The sequence below is a fragment of the Homo sapiens genome, chromosome 6, assembly GCF_000001405.40.
Source record: "Homo sapiens chromosome 6, GRCh38.p14 Primary Assembly".
Lineage (NCBI taxonomy): Eukaryota > Metazoa > Chordata > Mammalia > Primates > Hominidae > Homo > Homo sapiens.
In genome coordinates this window covers 131,291,191-131,313,157 of record NC_000006.12, presented here as the reverse complement: position 1 = coordinate 131,313,157, position 21,967 = coordinate 131,291,191, and the positions used below count along the sequence as shown (strand labels likewise).

Here is a 21,967-nt window from a genome sequence, read left to right as displayed (position 1 = left end):
TTAATATGTATAGGAATCACCAGTAAATCAGGTTAAAATAAAGATTCTGATTGAATTGATGAGGGTGATGGAGACTGAGGTTCTGTATTTCTAACAGGTGTCCTGGGTTTGTCTATTTTTCTGACCTATTTTCTACCCTTTGAGAAGTAAGGCAACAAAGAATAAGAAAAGATACTGTAATTGCTGTCAACTATATTTCCAGTGACAATATCCCAAGTCTTAGATCAGCATGAGCTCAACCACTGCCAATTGAGACTCCAGTTATTGGAACTGTTTTGTGAAAAAGAATAACAAAGGTATATTTTGACAATTAGTTGTAACAGCAGCCCCAGATGAACTTGAAATAGCTGCGCTCAAATACTTATTACTAGTTCACATGCCCTTTTCATTTCTGGAGTGGTTTCTATTGAAAACTAATTTGAGACCAGAAAATCTTACAAAATTTAATTTTGAAATATCGTCACCTTTGCTACCAAAGAAAACATCCCATCCAGACAAACATGTTTCCAGGATGTGAAATTTAATGGAAGAACAAGTACAAAAAATACCATGTTCTACATGCTGCATAAACTCCAGGAAAACTGACATTCCAACTCAGCAGAACATAGGGATAAACCATCTCAAAGGGAACTCTCCCCAGGCCTAAAGTAAGAGCAAACTTTACCCAAAAGGATGCGTTGAACCCATAGATCAATTTGGGGAGAACTGACATCTGAACAATATTGAATCTTCTAATTCATAAACATAAATCTCTCCATTTATTTAGGACTTCTTTAATTTCTCTCAGTGATGTTTTAATAGTGTTCACTCTTCCAATCTTACACATTTTTTCCTGTTTTTCATGTTTTTAGATACTATTGTAGATGATTTAAAATTTTAATATTCAATTGTCATTGCAAATACATTTAAGATATAATTGAATTTTGTATACTGACCTGATATCCTATGACCTTGCTAAGATTAGTTCTACCAATTTTTAAGAGTCTATAGGAATTTCTTTGTATACAATTATGTCACCTGTGAATGAAACCTGTTTTAAGTATTCCTTTCTCATTTGTATTCTTTGAATTTCTTGTTCTTGCTTTATTGTATTGGCTAGACCTGCGAGTACAATATTGGATAGAAATTATGAGAATGGGCATTCTTAGCTTATTTTTGATCCTATGGGTAAAGCCTTCAGTCTTTCGCCATTAAGTATGACATTAATGATAGGTTTTAAACAACACTTTTTATCAGAAAGTTCCCTGCTTTTCCTAATTTATTGAGATATTTAAAAAATGAAATGTTCTTGAATTTTGTCAAGTGTTTATGCTACATCTCTTGAAATGATCATGTGGTTTTATCCTTTATTTTGATAAAGTGGTAAATTACATTGATTTCTCAAATATTAAATCAAACTTTCAATCTTATGTAAACCATACTTGCTCATACCTGATATACACACAGAGACACACACACACACAGAGCTATTGTTTTATTTGCTAAGTTTTTATTACTTATTTTTGTTACTGTTCATGAGTAATATCAATCTGTAGTTTGGTTTTTTTTTCCTTGAATTGTCTTTTCTTTTGCTGTTAGAGTTATGCTGGCTTTGTAAAATGAAGTGAAAAAAATGTTTACTCTCTTCTATTATCTGGAAGAGTTTGCATAAGGTTGGTATGACTTCTTTAAATATTTGTTGGAATTCAATAGTGAAGCTATCAGAGCCAGGAGTTTTCCTTGTGGGAGGGTTTTTAAATTATGAACTTAATTCTATTAATAGGTATAACATTATTCAGTTTTCTACTTTTTTATTAAGTCTGTGCTGCTAATGTGTATCTTTCAAGGAATTTGCCCGTTTCATCTAAGTTTTACTTTTCTTCAATTTTCCTTTATTAGGCTTTTAATATCTGTAAGATTTGTAAAGATCTCTCCTTTGTTCACTCCTGGTATTGGTAAGTTTTGTCTTCTTTCTATTATCTTGATTAGTATTTGTTGTTTTTCAAAATTTCTCAATTTTGTGCCTATTTTTATTTCACTGACTTCTGCTCTTATCTTTATTGTTTCCTTCTACATACTTTGGGTTTAATTTCTTTCGCTTTTTTCAGCTTCTTAAGGTGGAAGCTTAGATCATTGATTTGAGATCTTTCTTTTTTCTACTATAACATTTAAAGCCATAAGTTTCCCTCCATTCAGTACTTGAGCTGTGTCTCAAATTTCAATATACTCTATTTTTATTTTCACTCATTTCCAAATAATTTATAATTGCCCTTGTTGATATATGAATTACTTGCAAATCTGGGTTTAATTTACAAATATTTAGGCATTCTCCAGATAGCTTTCTCTTATTTCTTTCTACCTTATTTTCTCTATGGTTAGAGAACATACTCTGCAATATTTCAATCCTTTTAAATTTATTGACTTATTTTATGGTCTTATAACAAAAAATAAAATATGGTTTGTTTTGGTGAACACTTCATATGCATTTGAATAGAATGTTTATTGCATTGTTCTTGGGCAAAATGGTCTATAAATACCAATTAGGTCAAGTTGGTTGACAGTGTTATTCAGTTCTGTCAATTTTTGTTTCATGTATTTTGAAGGTATGTTATTGGGTTTATGCATAGTGAATCAGGTTAAATACACTGGGTGTATTTAATGGGTGAATGTTCCCTTTTTCCATTATGAAATAATCCATCCTATCCATGACAACCTTCCTTCTGAAGTCTATCTTGTGTCACAAAGTAGCCATGCTAGCTTTCTTAAATGTAGTGTCCACATGGTATATATTTTCCCAACCTTTTACTTTTAATGCACGTCTTTATAATTAAAGTAGGCTCCTCATAGACAATATATAATTGAGCCTTACTTTTTAAATCCAATTTGATAATATTTACCTTTTAACTGGAAAAAAATAACTTTTATGTTTAAAAATCCAGGCATTTGCCATTTTACATGTTCTTTACTCCCTTGCGTAGGTCTGAATTTGTATCATTTTCCTTTCACCTGAAGAATTTTATTTAACATTTCTTATAACGCAGGTCGGCAGGCAACTAATTTTCTCAGTTTAGTTTCTGAAAAGGGTTTTTTGGTTTTGCCTTAATTTTGGAAGAATATTTTTGTTGGTTATAAAATTTTGTATTGACATATTTTTTTCAGCATTTTAAAGATACTTGTGTAGCTTGACCAGAAGTCCGCTGTCACTCTTATTTTGTAACTGGTTTTCAGAAATTTGGGTATGCCTTGGTGTGGGCCTGGTTGTTTGAAGGTACAGATATGCAGATGTTTAACCTTGTTGAAATTTGTTGAGCTTCTTAGATTTTTGAGATGTAACATTTTCATCAAATTAGGAAATTTTTCAGAAACTATTTCTCCAATTATATTTTCTGTCCCTTACCCATCCACCGTATCTTTCTTGGACTCCAATTTTAAATCTGTCAGACTCTTTGACATAGTTCCAAAAGTCATTAGGGCTCTTTTCATTTTGTCTCCAATTGTTTTTCTTTCTATTTCATTTTGGATAGATTTTACTGCCATGTCTTCAATTTCACTAATCTTTTCTTCTGTGGTGTCTAATCTGCTGTAAATCCTATACAGTGAAAATTTCATTTCAGATATTAGATTTTTCATTTCTGGAAATTCCTTTTCATCTTCCTTGTTTCTCCTCATTATTTTTGTTTTCCTTTAAACACTTTACATAGTTATAATTCCTGTTCTAACCATTTTATCTACTAATATCATGATCTCTGACATTTTGGGGTTCATTTCTCTTGGCAATTTTTCTCCTGGTCATGGGTCACATTTCCTATCTTTTGATAAGCTTAGTATTATTAGGGTGTTGAGTATCTGGAGTTTGTTGCCTTTTTTAAAAAACAGCATCAGTCTTTGTTTTGAAAGACAGCAGGTCAGTTTGATACCTTTGAGTTCTGTTTTTAAGCTTTGCTAGAATGATTCTAGTGTAGCCTTCATTCAAGAGATAGTTCAGGGGCTGGGCATGGTAGCTCATGCCTGTAATCCCAGCACTTTGGGGGGCTGAGGTGGGTGGATCACTTGAAGCCAGGAGTTCAAGATCAGTCTAGTCAACATGGTGAAACCCCGTTTCTACTAAACATACAAAAAAAAAATTAGCCAGGCATTCAGGAGGCTGGGGCAGGAGAATCACTTGAACCCAGGAGGCGGAGGACGTTGCAGTGAGCCGAGATCATGGCACAACACTTCTCCAGCCTAGGCAACAGAGTGAGACCCTGTTTCCAAAAAAAAAAAAAAAAAAAAGAGAGCTAGTTAGATCTATTATTAAGGCAACATCACTCTGAAATCTCTGCTGGATACCTCAGAGGTCTCAGGAATCCCCACGTTGCCTGGCCAGAGTTTAGACATCACCCTGACCTGTGTGAGCTCTGGGAATTTTTCTGCTTATGACACCCTAGGCTTTCTTTGTGTTGTGGGTTTTCACTCTGCACATGGGTGGCCTAGCACTTAACAAAGACTCAATACAACCCTCATACATATTTCTGGAACTCTTTTTATCTTTAGCATCCCCTTTTCAGGAACTCTGTCCCACAACTTCCAGTCATCTCAGCTTCCCTGAACTTTGATCTCCATCTTCAACTCAATAATGCCATCAGGGATTTGGGGGCTCCCCTACCGGTCTGGAATTGGCCTTTGGGCTGAAAGCTGAGACATTTAGGGCTTTTTCTCTTCTCTCAAGGATCACAACCTTATGCTGCCTGCTGCCCAATGTTTGAAAATGGTCGTGTCATTTATTTTGTCCAGTTTGCTAGTTGTTTATGGAAGAGAGGGCAGTGATATCTGGTCATTGCTTTTCTTTTACTTTTCTTTTCTTTTTTTTTTTTTTTTTTTTTTTTTGAGGCAGAGTTTCGTACTTGTTGCCCAGGCTGGAGTGCAATGGTGCAATCTTGGCTCACCACAACCTCCGCCTCCCAGGTTCAAGCAATTCTCCTGCCTCAGCCTCCCAAGTAGCTGGGATTACAGGCATGCGCCACCATGGCCGGCTAATTTTTTGTATTTTTAGTAGAGACAGAGTTTCTCCATGTTGGTCAGGCTGGTCTCAAACTCCTGACCTCAGGGGATCTGCCCACCTCAGCCTCCCGAAGTGCTGGGATTACAGGCATGAGTCACCGTGCCCGGCTGGTCATTGCTTTTCTTATCATGGCCAAAAGTGGAAGTTTGTAGTAGTTTTTCATGAATGGAATTTTGAGACTAAGCCATGTGTTTAGAGGTCCAGATGATAAAATATGCCACAATACTGAGGTGAGGGGAATGCCATCCATTTCTGTGAGGAACAATCATGGCCCTACCTAGTGAGGACTGAAGGGATGGCAGTACCATTTTGTCACCTCAATGGTTTTCTACTTTGGGGATGGAGCATGTAATACTACCCTGCTCAGGACAGCATTCTTCCAAAAGGGGCATGCATGGCAGAGCAGAGAAGTGAGTATTTGACTCTCAGAAGGTGATGCCTGGGCTGCTAGGGCATGAGATGCTGGATGAGGCCTCTCAGAAATTCTTGTCTGTGGAATAGGGAGGGATGATCTGGAAATGACTGGCTTATTTTTACAGAATACCGGGTCTCCAAACCTTCATTTCCAGTGCTATAATATATTATCTTTTAGGTCTAGAAAAGCTATGGCCCTCAATTCATAAACATTTTTTCAAAAACATTGATTGAGGCCGGGCGTGGTGGCTCATGCCTGTAATCCCAACACTTTGGGAGGCCAAGGAGGGCAGATCACTTGAGGTCAGGTGTGTGAGACCAGCCTGGCGAAACCCCATCTCTACTGAAAATAAAAAAAATTAGCCAGGCACGATGGCACTCGCCTATAATTCCAGCTACTCGGGAGGCTGAGGCACAAGAATTGCTTGAACCTGGGAGCTGGAGGTTGCAGTGAGCCGAAATGGTGCCCTTGTGCTCCGGCTTGGGCGGCAGAGTAAGACACCATCTTAAAAAAAGCCAAACAAATATTGGTTGAGCTCCTTTGCATACAATGAAAAAAAAAGTCCTTGTCATTGAAGTCTTCCAAGACACCTGAGGGAAAGGCAGCTGCATTAAATTAATGATTATGACTATGTTGAAGGTGTAATGAGAGCACACACAAAGAATAAGCATTCACGGCTGTTTGGACAGCAGCTGAACATGTAGAATTCAAAACAGATCTTTCATTGTACCATTCCTAACTGCAAAAGAGGGTCTCCCAGCCAATAGAAATATAGTCAATTTCATTTGCCCAATGAGGTATAGACAATGGTCTACTATTTTTTAGTCTTTAGTACAGTACTTTATTCTTTCTCCAGTGTGAAACACTAACCACTGGAGAGTTTTTTTGTTTGTTTGGTTTTTTTAGACGGAGTCTCTGCCACCCAAGCTGGAGTGCAGTGGCACGGTCTTGGCTCACTACAGCCTCCACCTCCCGGGTTCAAGAGACTCTGCTGCCTCAGCCTCCCAAGTAGCTTGCATTACAGGCACACACCCGGCTAATTTTTGTGTTTTTATAGAGATGGGGTTTCACTATGTTATATTTTTAGTAGAGATGGGGTTTCACCATGTTGGCCAGGCTGGTCTTGAACTCCTGTCCTCAAATGATCCACCGGCCTCGGCCTCCCAAAGTGCTGGGATTACAGGTGTGAACCACTGCACCCGGCCCCAGTGAAGAGTTTTCTAGTATGCTCAGCATAACAGTGATGATAGAAATATGTTTCAATGCTCTGTTTAGTTATTGGACTAGTCTTCTTCTTAATCATAAACATTTCATAATTTCAAACATGAAGTTTTTAATAAGCAAATAAAGAACACGGTCAACCTCAAAGGAAATGCAATAGAAAATGAAAACTGAAAACAAATCCATTTGGAATTGTAACACATTTTAAAGAAACCCCTAGGAAGTACAGAATTGAGCCCATTGGCAAACTGGATCGATTCAAATAGCTTGATATTAACCACTTGAAGAAATCAAGCAAGCTCTCATTTAGGTATTAACTAGGTTCAGTGGTACATTTTATACATCCCACAGCACATTTGCATACTATTAAAAACGCAACAGCAAACCAATTTGCAACTGGTTATTCTATCCAAAATTGCAAGCCACTTCTCCCCAACCCCTACACAACACATATGAGTGTGAAAGTGTGTGTGTGCACGTGTGTGCGTGTGTGTGTGTGTGTAGGAGAGCTGGAAATGGTAGTCACTGCTTTTATTTATCAACAAGTATTAAACCCTTTATCTGCTAAATGTGTTCACTTCAGTGAGAATTCCAAAGCATAATATTAATTCCCTCCCTAAATAATGGTTTGCAGCATGTGAAATAGTAGAACTCTGTGCAAAGATAATATATTACTTATAATGGAAGTGGACACACATTGATGGAAGCTGTAAATGTCCCTCAGGCAGCAAAATACAAGCCATGCCTCTTCTCACCTCCTCTAGATCCAACTCAACTCACAATACACAGCAACTCTGTATGCTGTGCAGGCAGAAAAACCTGTGCTGAATAAACCTGTGACTGTTTGGAAGGTCAGCAGTTTTCCACCAAACGAGGTAATGTGCTGCCAAGGATTATCTCACTAGCAAGAGAAAAAGCTCAGTGCCCAACTAACAAAAAAAATTTAATTATATATGAATAATTGCATTTCCATATGCGAAAGACTCAGGAAAGTCTGTAGGGAGGTGAGTTTTCTTCCATCATGCCTCTGGAGGACATATATTTGAACATGCTTAAAATAGAAAAGGCAAATCAGAATACATATGCTTTAAATAGATGAAGCTCTTGTTACATGAAGGAAAACAGTGTTGCAGGCATGCCTCATATATTTCTCCATTTCTTTTAGAATGTCAAGATGCTATCTGTGTAAGTTCTGCAGTCCCTGAGTCTTTCCTGCTCTCTTCCCTTGTCTTGTAGTCAGCGAAGAGAAGTATTCTTTTAAAAATAAAAAAGGATATATTATGCAAGCAAAAGAACCCAGCCTCAAATATGCACATACTATATGAATCTATTCATGTGACATTTTGGAAAAGGCAAAAATGTAGGAACAGAGGACACATAAGAGGTAGACGGGTTGGGGTGGGGGAGAAAGGGCCTAAATGCACCAGGACAGACGGAAAGTTCTCTTCAGGATGCTAAAATCGTTCTGTATCTTGTCTATGATGGTAGTTACAAGAATCTATTTATGTATAAAAACTCATAGAATTGTACACTCCCCAAAATTGCATTTTAATTGCGTAGAAAATGTAAACATTGATTTGATTTAAAACTTGAGTGCCTATTTTGTACCAATACGACAGTAAGCTTTTCCTTGCTATAATGATGCTGATATTCAGCATGTCACCCACAGTGCTAATCCACATCATTACAGCATTATTACTTCAGCATCGTTAGAGCATTGTTACTGCACTATTATTTCCAGCATTATTACGATATTATTACTTTAGTGTCACCCAAGCTTCCTAAGCTTCTTAACCAAGTAATATAACTCAAACTACAGGAATTACTGCTTGGTGTGAAGCATTTCCAATTTTCCACCTTTCCAATTTTCTTGACTTTCATTTCATTTCTCTAACTTTTGGGCCACTATTTTAAAATACATAATTAGCAAGGCATATAAAAAACAAGATATGTTTGTTCTCCTATGCCAAAAAGTGTGCCTCACACCACAAATTCCCTTAATTTTTCCTTCCCTCTTTCTTCTTTGAAAGAATAACCGAAATTGTAAGAAAATGTTATTATTTGCTCACTTTTGAGAAGTGGTTTGTCTTGTAACTGGGTATCAATGATGATAGAGTCTAAAGAAGACTTTCATAGACTGTTCCTTCCCCCATTCTCTTTGGTTTCCTTCCCTTTTGCTATTTTCAAGCTGTTAATGGTATTTTATTTTTGAACACACACTATTGCCATATAGAGTGTTGTCTTCAAACTCAGAGGCAACATTAGAGAGTAAGGACTTCCCACTTTAGCTTATTGTAGATCCAGATGTCCAGAACATTCTAATGCCTCCACCTGAAAACCCTTCCTGGAGTAAACCTTTTCTATTTTGTTGCATTTCTGGAAACGGGAGTAATCCAACACCATCTCTTCCTTAAGACCTGTAAACCCTGTACTAACTGCAAATGCCTAACATAAACCTTAGGGGGATGTATTAGTCCATTTTTGCATAGTTCTTGCTATAAAGAACTACCCGAGGCTGGGTAATTTATAAAGAAAAGAGGTTTAATTGACTCACAGTTCTGCAGGCTGTACAGTAAGCATGGCTGGGGAAGCCGCAGGAAACCTAAAATCATGGCTGAAGGCAACGGGGAAGCAGGCACGTCCTCCATGGCTGGAGCAGGGGGAATAAAGTCAAGGGGGAGGTGCTCCATACTTTTAAATAAGCAGATCTCATGAGAACTCACTCAGTAGCATGAGAACAGCAAAGGGGATATCCGCCCTCAGGATGCAATCACCTCCCATCAGGCCCCTCCTCCAACACTGGGGATTACAATTCCGCATGAGATTTGGGTGGAGACACAAATCCAAATCCTATCTGGGGAGAAACAATCTTCTCATTGTGTGTCTTGGGATCGCTCATTAAGGATTTCTGGACATTTGTCACAACTGGCTCTTAGTGCTTAATATAGCATCTCTATCCTTGAGAACAGTGTATTCCTACCTCTTCTCAGCTGTCCTTCATCCCCTGCTATCTTGTCTTTCTCCATCTTGGTGACTCTGTCCTCTATATCAGAGACTGAACTTTTCTTGAAGGCTTCCCTGTTCTAACCTCTGTTTTCAGTTCCCTAGGCCCTGACATTGACTGAGTCCCATGATCTGAGACTCCTCCCTGGAGACTTTGCTTACATTTCCCAGCATGCGCTAATGAAAAGTGAATCTGATTTTTCTTCCAGATCCTCAGTTATATTCTCTAGAGGAAGCATCTTCAATGATTTCTTGGGTATCCTTCCAGAACTTTCCCTGTATATACATACTCTATACACATAACACCTTTCTGAAACACCCTTATGAATAGAAGCATATTATTCCTATGATCTTGTGCTTTGCATTTTGCTTTATATGCTTATTGATCTTTGTATTTCAAAATAACTATATCCACGTCATTCTTTTTAACAGCAGTATAATTGGTACGTACCATAATTTATTAATCAAACCTTTATTGCTTGAGTATAAGTTGTTTTCTTCTTTTGTCATTGTTGCCATCATAAACTATGGTGCAGTGAAAATCCTTGTACTTACGTTTCTGCAAACACATGCAAATATACCCATTGCAAATTTTTTTGAAATGGAATTAATTGCTGGGTCAACACCTTCATCATAGATTTCACCAAATTCTTCTCCCAAAATATGGTATAAATTCCAATTTCTACCTGTATTAGTCAGGGTTATCTAGAGGGACAGAACTAATAGGATATATAAATGTGTAAAGGGAAGTTTAGGCCGGGTGCGGTAGCTCACACCTGTAATACTAGCACTTTGGGAGGCTGAGGCAGGCAGATCACCTGAAGTCAGGAGTTCCAGACCAGCCTGGCCAACATGGTGAAACCCCATCTCTATTAAAAGTACAAAAAATTAGCCAGGCATGGTGGCAGGCGCCTGTAATCCCAGCTACATGGGAGGCTGAGGCAGGAGAATTGCTTGAACCCGGGAGGTGGAGGTTGCAGTGAGGTGAGATCATGCTATTGCACTCCAGCCTGGGCAACAAGAGCGAGACTCCATCTCAAAAAAAAGGGGGCAGTTTACTAAGTATTAACTTACACAATAACAAGTTCCCACAATAGGCTGTCTGCAAACTTGAGGAGCAAAGAGAGCCAGTCTGAGTTCCAAAACTGAAGAACTTGGAGTCTGATGTTCGAGGCCAGGAATCATCCAGCATGGGAGAAAGATATAGGCTGGGAGGCTAGGTCAGTCTCGCCTTTTCACATTTTTTCTGCCTGCCTTATATACGCTGGCAGCTGATTAGACTGTGACCACCAGATTAAGGGTGGGTCTGCCTTCCCCAGCCCACTGACTCAAATGTTACTCTCCTTTGGCAACACCATCACAGACACACACAGGAACAATACTTTGCACCCTTCAGTCCAATCAAGTTGACACTCAGTATTAACCATCACACTACCAAAATGATGTGACAGCTCCTGCTTCACACACCTGCACCAAGCTCATGTATTATTAAACTTTTAAATCTTTACTGCTCTGACAGGTTTTTTAAAAGCTACCTCATTATTGCTTTAACTTCTTTTATTTAATTATTAGTGAAGTCTATATACCTTTTTTTATTTTTATTTTTATTTTAGATGGAGCCTCCCTCTGTTGCCCAGGCTGGAGTGCAATGGCACCATCTCGGCTCAGTGCAACCTCCGCCTCCCAGGTTCAAGCGATTCTCCTTCCTCAGCCTCCCGAGTAGCTGGGATTACAGGCACCCACCACTACACCCGGCTAATTTTTGTATTTTTAGTAGAGAAAGGGTTTCACCATGTTAATCAGGCTGGTCTCAAACTCCTGACTCTGCCCACCTCGGCCTCCCAAAGTACTGGGATTACAGGCATGAGCCACCATGCCCGGCCTGAGGTCTACCTCTTTATATGTGGTTTGGGTCCATTTTTTTTCTCTTTCTGGAAACTATGTTTTTTGCCTATTCTGTGATTGATGGAGATCATCTCTCATGGCACTCTGGGTCCTCAGAAATCACAGCAGGCAGTGTGGCACAGGCTGTCTTCAGCCTTCTCAAGCCCCAACAAGCCCCACCACCCCTTCCGCTGTTACAGCTGACCTCCAGGATAGCAGCAAGGGTCACTTCTATACCAAGCTGGCCACCTCTCTGGCACTTCTGTTGTAAGACACTTTCCTTAGTTCAACTAAAGATGGGGTCCTCATCACACGACCACAAAAAATTAGGCTCGCACACTATTTGAAGGGTGAGAAGGGCAGCGTTTCTTGGGTGAAAAGGAAAAGAGGGAAACAGGGACTCTCTGCAAGGCCGGTTTCATGCGCGTCCGTGTGAAGAGACCACCAAACAGGCTTTGTGTGAGCAACATGGCTGTTTATTTCACCTGGATGCAGGCGGGCTGAGTCCGAAATGAGAGTCAGCCAAGGGAGATAGGGGTGGGGCCATTTTATAGGATTTGGGAAGGTAAAGGAAAATTACAGTCAAAGGGGGTTGTTCTCTGGTGGGCAGGGGCAAGGGTCCCAAGGTGCTCAGTGGGGGAGCTTTTTGAGCCAGGATGAGCTAGGAAAAGGACTTTCACAAGGTAATGTCATCACTTAAGGCAAGGAACGGCCATTTACACTTCTTTTGTGGTGGAATGTCATCAGTTAAGGTGGGGCAGGGCATATTCACTTCTTTTGTGATTCTTCAGTTACTTCAGGCCATCGGGGCTTATACGTGCAAGTCACAGGGGATGCGATGGCTTGGCTTGGGCTCAGAGGCCTGACATTCCTGACTTCTTACATTAATAAGAAAAATAAAACAAAATAGTGTTGAAGTGTTGGGGCAGCGAAAATTTTTAGGGAGTGGTATGGAGAGAGAATGGGCGATGTTTGTCAGAGCTGCTTCAAGCGGGATTAGGGGCAGTGTGGGAACCTAGAGTGGGAGAGATTAAGCTGAAGGGAGGTCTTGTGGTAAGGGGTGATATTGTGGGGATGTTAGAAGAAACATTTGTCGTATAGAATGATTGGTGATGGCCTGGATACGGTTTTGGATGAATTGAAAAACTAAATGGAATAACAGAAGGAGAAAAACAGGTATAAAAGTTCTAAGAATTGGGATGACTCAGGATATCTGATTAGAGAGTGCCTAAGGAGATTCAGCATAGTCCTGCCAGCAAAGATTATTTATTTACTTCAAGAGTTAAGAGTGGCAGTTTGGGGATAGCAGGAGGAGATATCAGCTGTGATGGCTTGGAGAAACAGTGTAAACCGGCAGTGTAAACAAGAGCAAGGCATGTATGAGTAGTTGAGAACGGTGAATAGGAGTATGACTAGACAGAAGATAGTAGGGATGACAATTTTTTTTGGGGCACAGTCAAAGTCGGTCTGGTGTCTGGAATGAGACTGGGGCCTAATAAAAAGGAGCGTCTATACAGGAGCTTAAATGGGCTGTACCCTGTAGCATTCTGAGGACAGGCCTGAATTCTGAGAAGGGAAAGTGGTAAAAGTATTGTCCAGTCCTTTTTAAGTTGGTGGCTGAGCTTGGTGAGGTGTGTTTTTAAAAGACCTTTAGTCTATTCTACTTTTCTTGAAGACGCAGGACCGTGAGGGATATAAAGGTTTCACTGAATACTAAGAGCCTGAAAAACTGCTGGCTGATTTGACTAATAAAGGCTGGTCTGTTATCAGACTGTATTGAGATGGGAAGGCTAAACTGAGGAATTATGTCTGACAGAAGGGTAGAAATGACTGTGGTGGCCTTCTCAGACCCTGTAGGAAAGGCCTCTACCTATCCAGTGAAAGTGTCTACCTAGACTAAGAGGTATTTTAGTTATCCGACTCGGGGCATGTTGAGTAAAGCTAATTTGCCAGTCCTGGGTGGGGCAAATCCTCGAGCTTGATGTGTAGGGAAGGGAGGGGGCCTGAATAATCCCTGAGGAGTAGTAGAATAGCAGATGGAACACTGAGAAGTTATTTCCTTGAGGATAGATTTCCACAATGGAAAGGAAATGAGAGGTTCTAAGAGGCGGGCTAGTGGCTTGTACTATAGCATAACCTGCCTTTGCTGGTGTGTGGCGATTAGGCCTGGTGGAACCGCCATCAATAAATCAAGCGTGATCAGGGTGAGGAACAGGAAAGAAGGAAATTTGGGGAAATGTGAATGTCAGGTGGATCAGAGAGATACGGTCATGGGGGTCAGGTGTGGTATCAGGAATAATGTGGGAGGCTGGATTGAAGTATGGGCCAGGAACAATGGTAATTGTGGGAGACTCAACAAACAGTGAGTACAGCTGAAGGAGCCGGGAAGCAGAAAGTATATGCGTCAGGTATGAGGAAGAAAATAGATTTTGGAAGTTATGAGAACTGCAGAGAGTGAGTTGAACACAGTTTGTGATTTTGAGGGCCTCTAAAAGTATTAAAGCAGTGGCAGCTGCTGCACGCAGACATGAGGGCTAGGCTAAAACAGTAAGGTCAAGTTGTTTGGACAGAAAGGCTACAGGGTGTGGTCCTGGCTCTTGTGTAAGAATTCTGACCGAGCTAACCATGCTTAGGATGGAAAGGAGTTGTGGTTTTGTAGAAGGTGCTGGGGTTTGAGAGATCAGTTGGACACGATTGGCAGGGAGAGCACATGTGTTTTTATGAGAATTATGCCGAGATAGGTAACAGATGAGGAAGAAATTTGGGCTTGATTGAAGTAATGGGGGCTGTTTGTGAAGCTTTGCGGCAGTGCAGCCTAGGTAATTTGCTGAGCTTGATGGGTGTCAGGGTCAGTCCAAGTGAAAGCGAAGAGAGGCTGGGATTAAGGATGCAAAGGAATAGTAAAGAAAGCATGTTTGAGATCCAGAACAGAATAATGGGTTGTAGAGGCAGGTATTGAGGATAGGAGAGTATATGGGTTTGGCACCACGGGGTGGATAGGCAAAACAATTTGGTTGATAAGGTGCAGATCCTGAACTAAATTGTAAGGCTTGTCTGGTTTTAGGACAGGTAAAATGGGGGAATTATAAGGAGAGTTTATAGGCTTTAAAACACCATGCTGTAGCAGGCGAGTGATAACAGGCTTTAATCTTTTTAAAGCCTGCTGTGGGATGGGATATTGGTGTTGAGTGGGGTAAGGGTGATTAGGTTTTAATGAGATGGTAAGGGGTGCATGATCGGTCTCCAAGGAGGGAGTAGAGGTATCTTATACTTGTGGGTTAAGGTGGGGGGATACAAGAGGAGGACGCAAAGGAGGCTTTGGATTGGGAAAAAGGGCGGCCATGAGATATAGCTGTAGTCTAGGAATAGTCAGGGAAGCAGATAATTTAAAGTGTCTCAGCCTAATAAGGGAACTGGGCAGGTGGGGATAACTAAAAAGGAGTGCTTAAAAGAGTATTGTCCAAGTTAGCACCAGAGTTGGGGAGTTTCAAGAGGTTTAGAAGCCTGGCCGTGAATACCCACAACAGTTATGGAGGCAAGGGAAACAGGCCCTTGAAAAGAAGGTAATATGGAGTGGGTAGCCTCCGTATTGATTAAGAAGGGGACGGGCTTACCTTCCACTGTGAGAGTTACCCCAAGCTCGGCGTCCATGATGGTTTAGGGGGCTTCCGAGGGGATCGGGCAGTGTCAGTCTTCAGCCGCTAAGCTGAGAAGATCTGGGAAGGAGTCAGAGAGCCTTGGGCCAGAGTTCCAGGGGCTCTGGGAGTGGCTGTCAGGTGAGTTGAACAGTCCGATTTTCAGTGGGGTCCCACACAGAGGGGACGCGGCTTAGGAGGAATCCCGGGCTGCGGGCATTCCTTGGCCCAGTGGCCAGATTTCCGGCACATGTAGCAAGCTCCTGGGGGAGGAGGTTCTGGAGGAATGCCTGGCCGCTGTGGGTCAGGCATTTGGAAGTTCTTGTGTGCTGGAGATGTGGCTGGGGTTTGTCTCACAGTGGAGGCAAGGAATTGCAACTTTTTTCTGTTATTGTACACCTTGAAGATGAGGTTAATTAAATCCTGTTGTGGGGTTTGAGGGCCAGAATTTAATTTTTGGTGTTTTATTTGATGTTGGGAGCAGATTGGGTAATAAAATGTATTTTGAGAATAAGACGGCCTTTTGACCTTTTAGGGTCTAGGGCTGTAAAGTGTCTCAGGGTTGCTGCCGAACGAGCCATTAACTGGGCTGGGTTTTTATATTTGATGAAAAAGCCTAAATGCTATCTGATTTGGGATAAAGAAAAAGGAGCATTAACCTTGACTATGTCTTTGGCTCCAGCCACCTTTTTAAGAGTAAATTGCTGGGCAGGTGGGGGAGGGCTAGTCACGGAACGAAACTGTAAGCCGGACCAGGTGTGAGGAGGGGAGGTGATAAAAAGATTATAGGGTGGAGGAGCGGAGGCTGAGGAAGAATTGGGACGTAGCTTGGGCTGGCGAGGAGGGAAGAGGTCAGATGGGTCTGTAGAAAAGGAAGATTAGAAAGACTCAGTGACGCTTGGGGTTGGGACTAAGGGGACAGGCAGAATGGAAAGAAGGAAGATTTGGGATGAGTTGCACTGGACACAGAGACTAGGAAGGGACTGATGTGTAAAAGAATGCCTGGACGTCAGGCACCTCAGACCATTTGCCCATTTTATGACAAGAATTATTTAGATCTTGTAGGATGGAAAAATTGAAAGTGCCATTTTCTGGCTATTTGGAACTACTGTCGAGTTTGTATTGGGGTCAAGCGGCATTGCAGAAGAAAATAAGGCATTTAGGTTTTAGGTCAGGTGTGAGTTGAAGAGATTTTAAGTTTTTGAGAACACAGGCCAAGGGAGAAGAAGGAGGAATGGAAGGTGGAAGCTTACCTATAGTGAAGGAGGCAAGCCCAGAGAAAAGAGTAGAGACACGGAGAAGGGGTGAGGGGTTCCTGCCCTCCAGAAAAGCAGAGAAGGGGTTGGGGCACGGAAATAAGGGATTGAGGCACAGAGATAAGAGGTCAGGGTGCGGAAATAAGGTATTGGGGTGCAGAGATAAGAGGTTGGGGTGCGGAAATAAGCGATTGGGGGGTTCTTTCCCCCTAGGAAAGTGGGATTTGCCGCTAAGGGTGAAGGAGAAGGGGTTGAGGGGTACTTACCCCTGCCCCAGGAAAGCAGAGAAGGGGTAGAGACACGGAGAGAAGGGGTTGAGGTACTTGCCCCTCTCCCAGAAAAGCAGAGAAGGGTAGAGACAAGGAGAGAAGGGGTTGGGGTACTTGCCCTGTCCCCGGAAAAGCAGAGAATGGGTAGGGACAAGGAGAGAAGGGGTTGAGGTACTTGCACCTTCCCCAGAAAAGTGGGACTTGCCGCTAAGGGTGAAGGACCAAGGCAGGCGTCCCTGCGTGGTCTGACACCCTTGAAACGTGGGTGTATAATCAGAGAGGTGTCCCTGCAATGATTAAACACCAAGGGAAAGCTGCCTTCCCAGTCCGTGACCGGCGCCAGAGTTTTGTGTCCACGGATAAAACGTGTCTCCTTTGTCTGTCTCAGAAAATGAAAGGAATTGAAATTAAGAGAAGGGAGAGATTGAAGAGTGGAAAGGAGAAAGTGTGGTTGAGGGACAGAGAGAGGCTGGAGAAGAGAGTAAGAAGAGGCCGCTAACCTGATTTAAAATTGGTGAGATGTTCCTTGGGCTGGTCGGTCTGAGGACCTGAGGTCGTAGGTGGATCTTTCTCATGGAGCAAAGAACAGCAGTACAGGGGATTGATCTCCCAAGGGAGGTCCCCCAATTCGAGTCATGGCACCAAATTTCATGCGTGTCCGTGTGAAGAGACCACCAAACAGGCTTTGTGTGAGCAACATGGCTGTTTATTTCACCTGGGTGCAGGCGGGCTGAGTCCGAAATGAGAGTCAGCCAAGGGAGATAGGGGTGCGGCCGTTTTATAGGATTTGGGAAGGTAAAGGAAAATTACAGTCAAAGGGGGTTGTTCTCTGGTGGGCAGGGGCGGGGGTCCCAAGGTGCTCAGTGGGGGTGCTTTTTGAGCCAGGATGAGCTCGGAAAAGGACTTTCACAAGGTAATGTCATCACTTAAGACAAGGACCGGCCGTTTACACTTCTTTTGTGGTGGAATGTCATCAGTTAAGGTGCGGCAGGGCATATTCACTTCTTTTGTGATTCTTCAGTTACTTCAGGCCATCTGGGCATATATGTGCAAGTCACAGGGGATGCGATGGCTGGGCTTGGGCTCAGAGGCCTGACAGCCAGAGTCCCTGCTAGTGCACTTCCCACCTCGCAGATGCAATCCCAGGTACCACACCCCGGAACAGGAGAGAGATGCCAGGCTCCTCCCCGCTGCAAAGGGCGTGAACTTCCCAGGGCTCCACATCAGAGCGCATTCCCCATGGTGCGCAGGCCATCAGAGGTTCTGCCAGGGAGCCCTTCCCACCTGGCTGTCTCACTTCCACCAGCAACGAGGCAAAAGATCTCTCCACTCTCAGGTTTCCCAAACTTTAAGGAGGGCGGAGAGTTCTACTTTCGCCTCCAGCCAACTCCCTAGAGCAAGTCAGAGGAGGCATGGGAGACACAGCCCTCCCCCCATGCCTAACTCACCTCTCCAAGCTCCGTCTCCTCCACTCCCTCCTAGGTTTGAGGTTCTTATCCAGCCTGGGCAGAGGCCATGGGAGGCTAATTCAGTCAGTCGTCTTGCTGTGTCCAGTGTGTTGAACAAACAGGACTCGTGACATTATCCAAATACAGCTTTGTTTTTGTCTTCCTCACCTAACTTTTCTCTGTCAGGATAATCTTCACCCGGATAAAAATTCTTGCAGTTCCTTGGATTTTTGGCTTTCTCTGTTGTATTATGTATATATAGTCACAAACGCCATCTGCTTTTTCGGTCATCAGGATGTCCAGTCCTGGTGACAGTCAAAACCAACGCTGAATCCCCTCCCTGTAAGGCAGGGAGGAGACGTGAGGAGTACTTGGCTGGGTAGCTTCAGGCTCTCAGACCTGACACTTCTTGAGAAAACAAGCAATTCAAGCGTCCCTTCTTTGTGCACGCTCCCAGAGGTCCGCTAAAGCCTTGTGAGCTCGCCCTTGTAAACCAAAAAGTATCTGAGACAGGTCTCAATCCATTTAGAAGTTTATTTTGCCAAGGTTAAGGCAATGACCTGAAGACAGGTCTGTGTCTTTCTCCAAAGACGATTTTGAGGGCTTCAGTATTTAAAGGAGAAAAGCCGGCTGCAGGAGAAAGAGGGAAGGTATGGTCATGTGACTCAATCCACGTGTTGCAAGAGAAAGGGAGCAGGTAGGGGAAGAGTCAATTATGTAGTTGTCGGCCGGCCGCAGTGGCTCACGCCTGTAATCCCAGCACTTTGGGAGGCCAAGGCAGGCAGATCACCTGAGGTCAGGAGTTCAAGGCTAGCCTGGCCAACATGGTGAAACCCTGTCTCTACTAAAAATACAAAAATAAGCCTGGCGTGGTGACATACGCCTGTAATCCCAGCTACTAGGCAGGCTGAGGGAGGAGAATCACTTGACCCCAGGAGGCGGAGGTTGCAGTGAGCCTAGATCCTGCCACTGCACTCCAGCCTGGGCGACAGAGGGAGACTCCCTCTCAAAAAAAAAAAAAAAAAAAAAAAAAAAAGTTATGTATTTGTTTCATGCTCAGTAAATCGGCACTTTACATAAGATAAGGTGAACCTAGAGTAGCTACCTGTGGAGATATTTAACCTTTTATCTGTAGCTGTCTGTTTGGAAACAAGGAAAGAGCTTTTTGCATGACTCAGCTTTCAGCTTAATTGTTTTTCCTTTTGGCAGAGTGAATTGGGGACCCGAGTTTTGATTTTCCTTTCACACACTTGACCCCAGAGGATATGCCTCTGCTACTAGGGGCCTGTGCAGTACCTCCTCAGGCCTCCCACTCTTCTGGGTGAGACCTTCTCAGGCCTCTGCCATGCCCCTGCCAGCCAGCCTCCCCTCTTCCCCATGAGGGAGAGTTGTCCACTCTGGGCTGTGGGCAGGGCCCCATGCAGTAGCATCCACGCAGGCCTGAGGCCACATTTTCACTCCCTCTAGATCCGCAGGTGGGAGTGCAGCCACCACCATTCCCCTTGGCTGTCTCCCAGGCCTCAGATATCAGTCCTCTGCATCCTCAATCACAGGAAATACAGTCCCAGGTTCTCCGTGTGGTCCTTAAAGCCTCCATCCATGAAGCTTGAGGTAAGGAGGAAGTGTCAGAGATAAGCAAGGCTTAGCATTGATGAAAGTGGGAAAAGCAGGTGATGGGCTTCAGGGCATACTATCCCAAAAGGTAGTGCTTTGACATTTGAGAAAACTGCAGTAAAAGAGTCTTTGTGACCTTCTCCCATGCTTCTCCCCTGAAGCGGGCATGAAAGAATTCTTCTGAACTTCCTCTGAAGTAGGTCATGAGATCCTCATTGGAGATGTATCCTCCCCATCCTAGAAAAAAATGTCCTTGTCTCTGAAGACATAGGGACACAGGAAAAATCTGAACAAGCAGGCCTTGCTAAGTTTCCTCCAGCTAATCACCATTCCATCAGACCTTTTTTGTCCAATCATACTTTTCCTCAGTGTTCCACGTCTCCATCAAATCTAACATAAAAATACACAGGTTTCCCTGTTTCTTTGGGTCTTCATTTCTGAAGGCTCCTATGTCATGTAAAACTTACATTGAATACATTTGTATGCTTTTCTCCTGTTAGGCTGTCTTTTGTTACAGATGCCTAAGCCTTGAGCCTAGTGATGGGAAGAAAAGATGTTTCCTTTCCCCTCCACAGGTTTTATTCAGGAAAGAGCTGAGCTCCGTTTCACTTTACACACAAGTGCCTAGGTGTTTTAAATAGACAATCAGGAAGTAGGGAGGGGAAGAGGCAGGGCCTTCAGTGGAGTTAGGGCAGTGAAAAATACAAAAAGCCAGAAAGAGAGTTAATTCAAAATAAATGTGTTAGGCCATCTGTGTCTGCTAACTGGCATTTATGGAATTGGGGCTTCTGCCCTCCCAAAGGGACAGGAAGACAAAAATCCTATCGTTTCTGATGATTACATTTCAAAGGAATGACTTTCAGGTCCTTGACAAAGGTGTCTTCTGTTGTAGCAGATTTATAATACTTCTCAAAGGGACTGAGGAAGGCTTTACAGTTCTAAGCTTTTTAAAAGTAAGTGTGCTAAGAAAGGCAGGTCAAGGGCCCATGGTCAGCTGTTGGCTAGAACAAATAGTAAATTCTTTTCACAGCCTTGGCCTTTTCCCTATGGAAACTCAAAGTGGGGGAGGGGAGGAGTTATCTTAGGGACATAGCCTTAGGCTGCCAGAAGCTATGGCAGAGTTTGAGCAAGTCCCCTAGTGCAGATTTGGATGGATTCCTTCCTGCTGAGAATTTTGCAGTTCTCAGCAGACACTCCCCACCATGGAGAAGGTAAGGTATAAAGCACAGCTTGCTCCAAATACAGCCTCCTCACAAAATTCTCTTTTACCCCTTTCTTGTGTTCTTGACCTCACTGAGGCATCTGGGTGTCACTCCCTCTTTCATGTAACTGTGGCAAAGGGTCTGTCTCATACACACATCCGTGTTCTGTATCTAGCTCGCTGATGCTTCAGTGGAAGCAGAGCCCAATCCCAACATCTTGTTACATTGCAAACTGATGATCATACCAAAAGTTGGCCATTGGGAGCTCAAGAGCCAAAATATATGAAACTCAGCCTCTTTGCTCTCTCTATTTTGGTTAGTCTCTCGCAAAAGCAAGGTCTTATTTGAAATTAGAGAAGTGATGGGGCAAGCAGAGATTACAGAGAAAATAATAAATACATCTACATCAATATGCCATGTATCATTCTGACAGATGGGTCTTTTGCATACTAAGCACCTAGCCCAGTATCTGACCCATAGTAAATAATAAATGCAATGAGTGGACTCTGTTTCTGAGTGATGCACTCTTCATGCAGTACTTATTTATGGCTGAGATGCAATGAATTGTCTAATATCTGGCTATATTCATTTTATTTTGAAAATGGCATTTGCAATTTGATTTATAACAGTATTTATTATGTGACATTTTGAAAATCCTGAAATGCATAAATTAGGAAGCAAACTCACCTGTAATCCTACCACTCAGAAATCATCACTGTTAACATTTTATATGCATATAAGCATATGTTACTTAAAAACAAAAATACTAAGCTAAATTATATAATACTAAATTTTTATGACCAAAAAATGATATGTACTCAATGGATGTTATGGCCTTTTTTTTTTTTTTTTTTTTTTAAGTATAACTTTGCTCACATTTGCTGTCGTGTTTGACTTTTAGGTCCTGCCCTACTCAGTTTTGCCACAGTAATGCTACATAACAACCAACCATCATTTCCCTCTCACTCACATGTCCTCAGGGGCAGGTCTGCTAGTGACA

At 42.5% G+C, this 21,967-nt stretch overlaps 4 annotated features.

The window, feature by feature from the left end:
• Positions 11,747–12,255: an enhancer, noted in NCBI's record as "OCT4-NANOG-H3K27ac hESC enhancer chr6:131622043-131622551 (GRCh37/hg19 assembly coordinates)". NCBI's record gives its function as "activates a minimal SCP1, AML or CMV promoter by ChIP-STARR-seq in primed H9 embryonic stem cells {active_cell/tissue: H9 hESC(primed)}" and the evidence as "EXISTENCE:reporter gene assay evidence [ECO:0000049][PMID:30033119]".
• Positions 12,256–12,763: an enhancer, noted in NCBI's record as "OCT4-NANOG-H3K27ac hESC enhancer chr6:131621535-131622042 (GRCh37/hg19 assembly coordinates)". NCBI's record gives its function as "activates a minimal SCP1, AML or CMV promoter by ChIP-STARR-seq in primed H9 embryonic stem cells {active_cell/tissue: H9 hESC(primed)}" and the evidence as "EXISTENCE:reporter gene assay evidence [ECO:0000049][PMID:30033119]".
• Positions 17,445–18,125: an enhancer, noted in NCBI's record as "OCT4-NANOG-H3K27ac hESC enhancer chr6:131616173-131616853 (GRCh37/hg19 assembly coordinates)". NCBI's record gives its function as "activates a minimal SCP1, AML or CMV promoter by ChIP-STARR-seq in naive H9 embryonic stem cells {active_cell/tissue: H9 hESC(naive)}" and the evidence as "EXISTENCE:reporter gene assay evidence [ECO:0000049][PMID:30033119]".
• Positions 20,651–21,151: an enhancer, noted in NCBI's record as "H3K27ac hESC enhancer chr6:131613147-131613647 (GRCh37/hg19 assembly coordinates)". NCBI's record gives its function as "activates a minimal SCP1, AML or CMV promoter by ChIP-STARR-seq in primed H9 embryonic stem cells {active_cell/tissue: H9 hESC(primed)}" and the evidence as "EXISTENCE:reporter gene assay evidence [ECO:0000049][PMID:30033119]".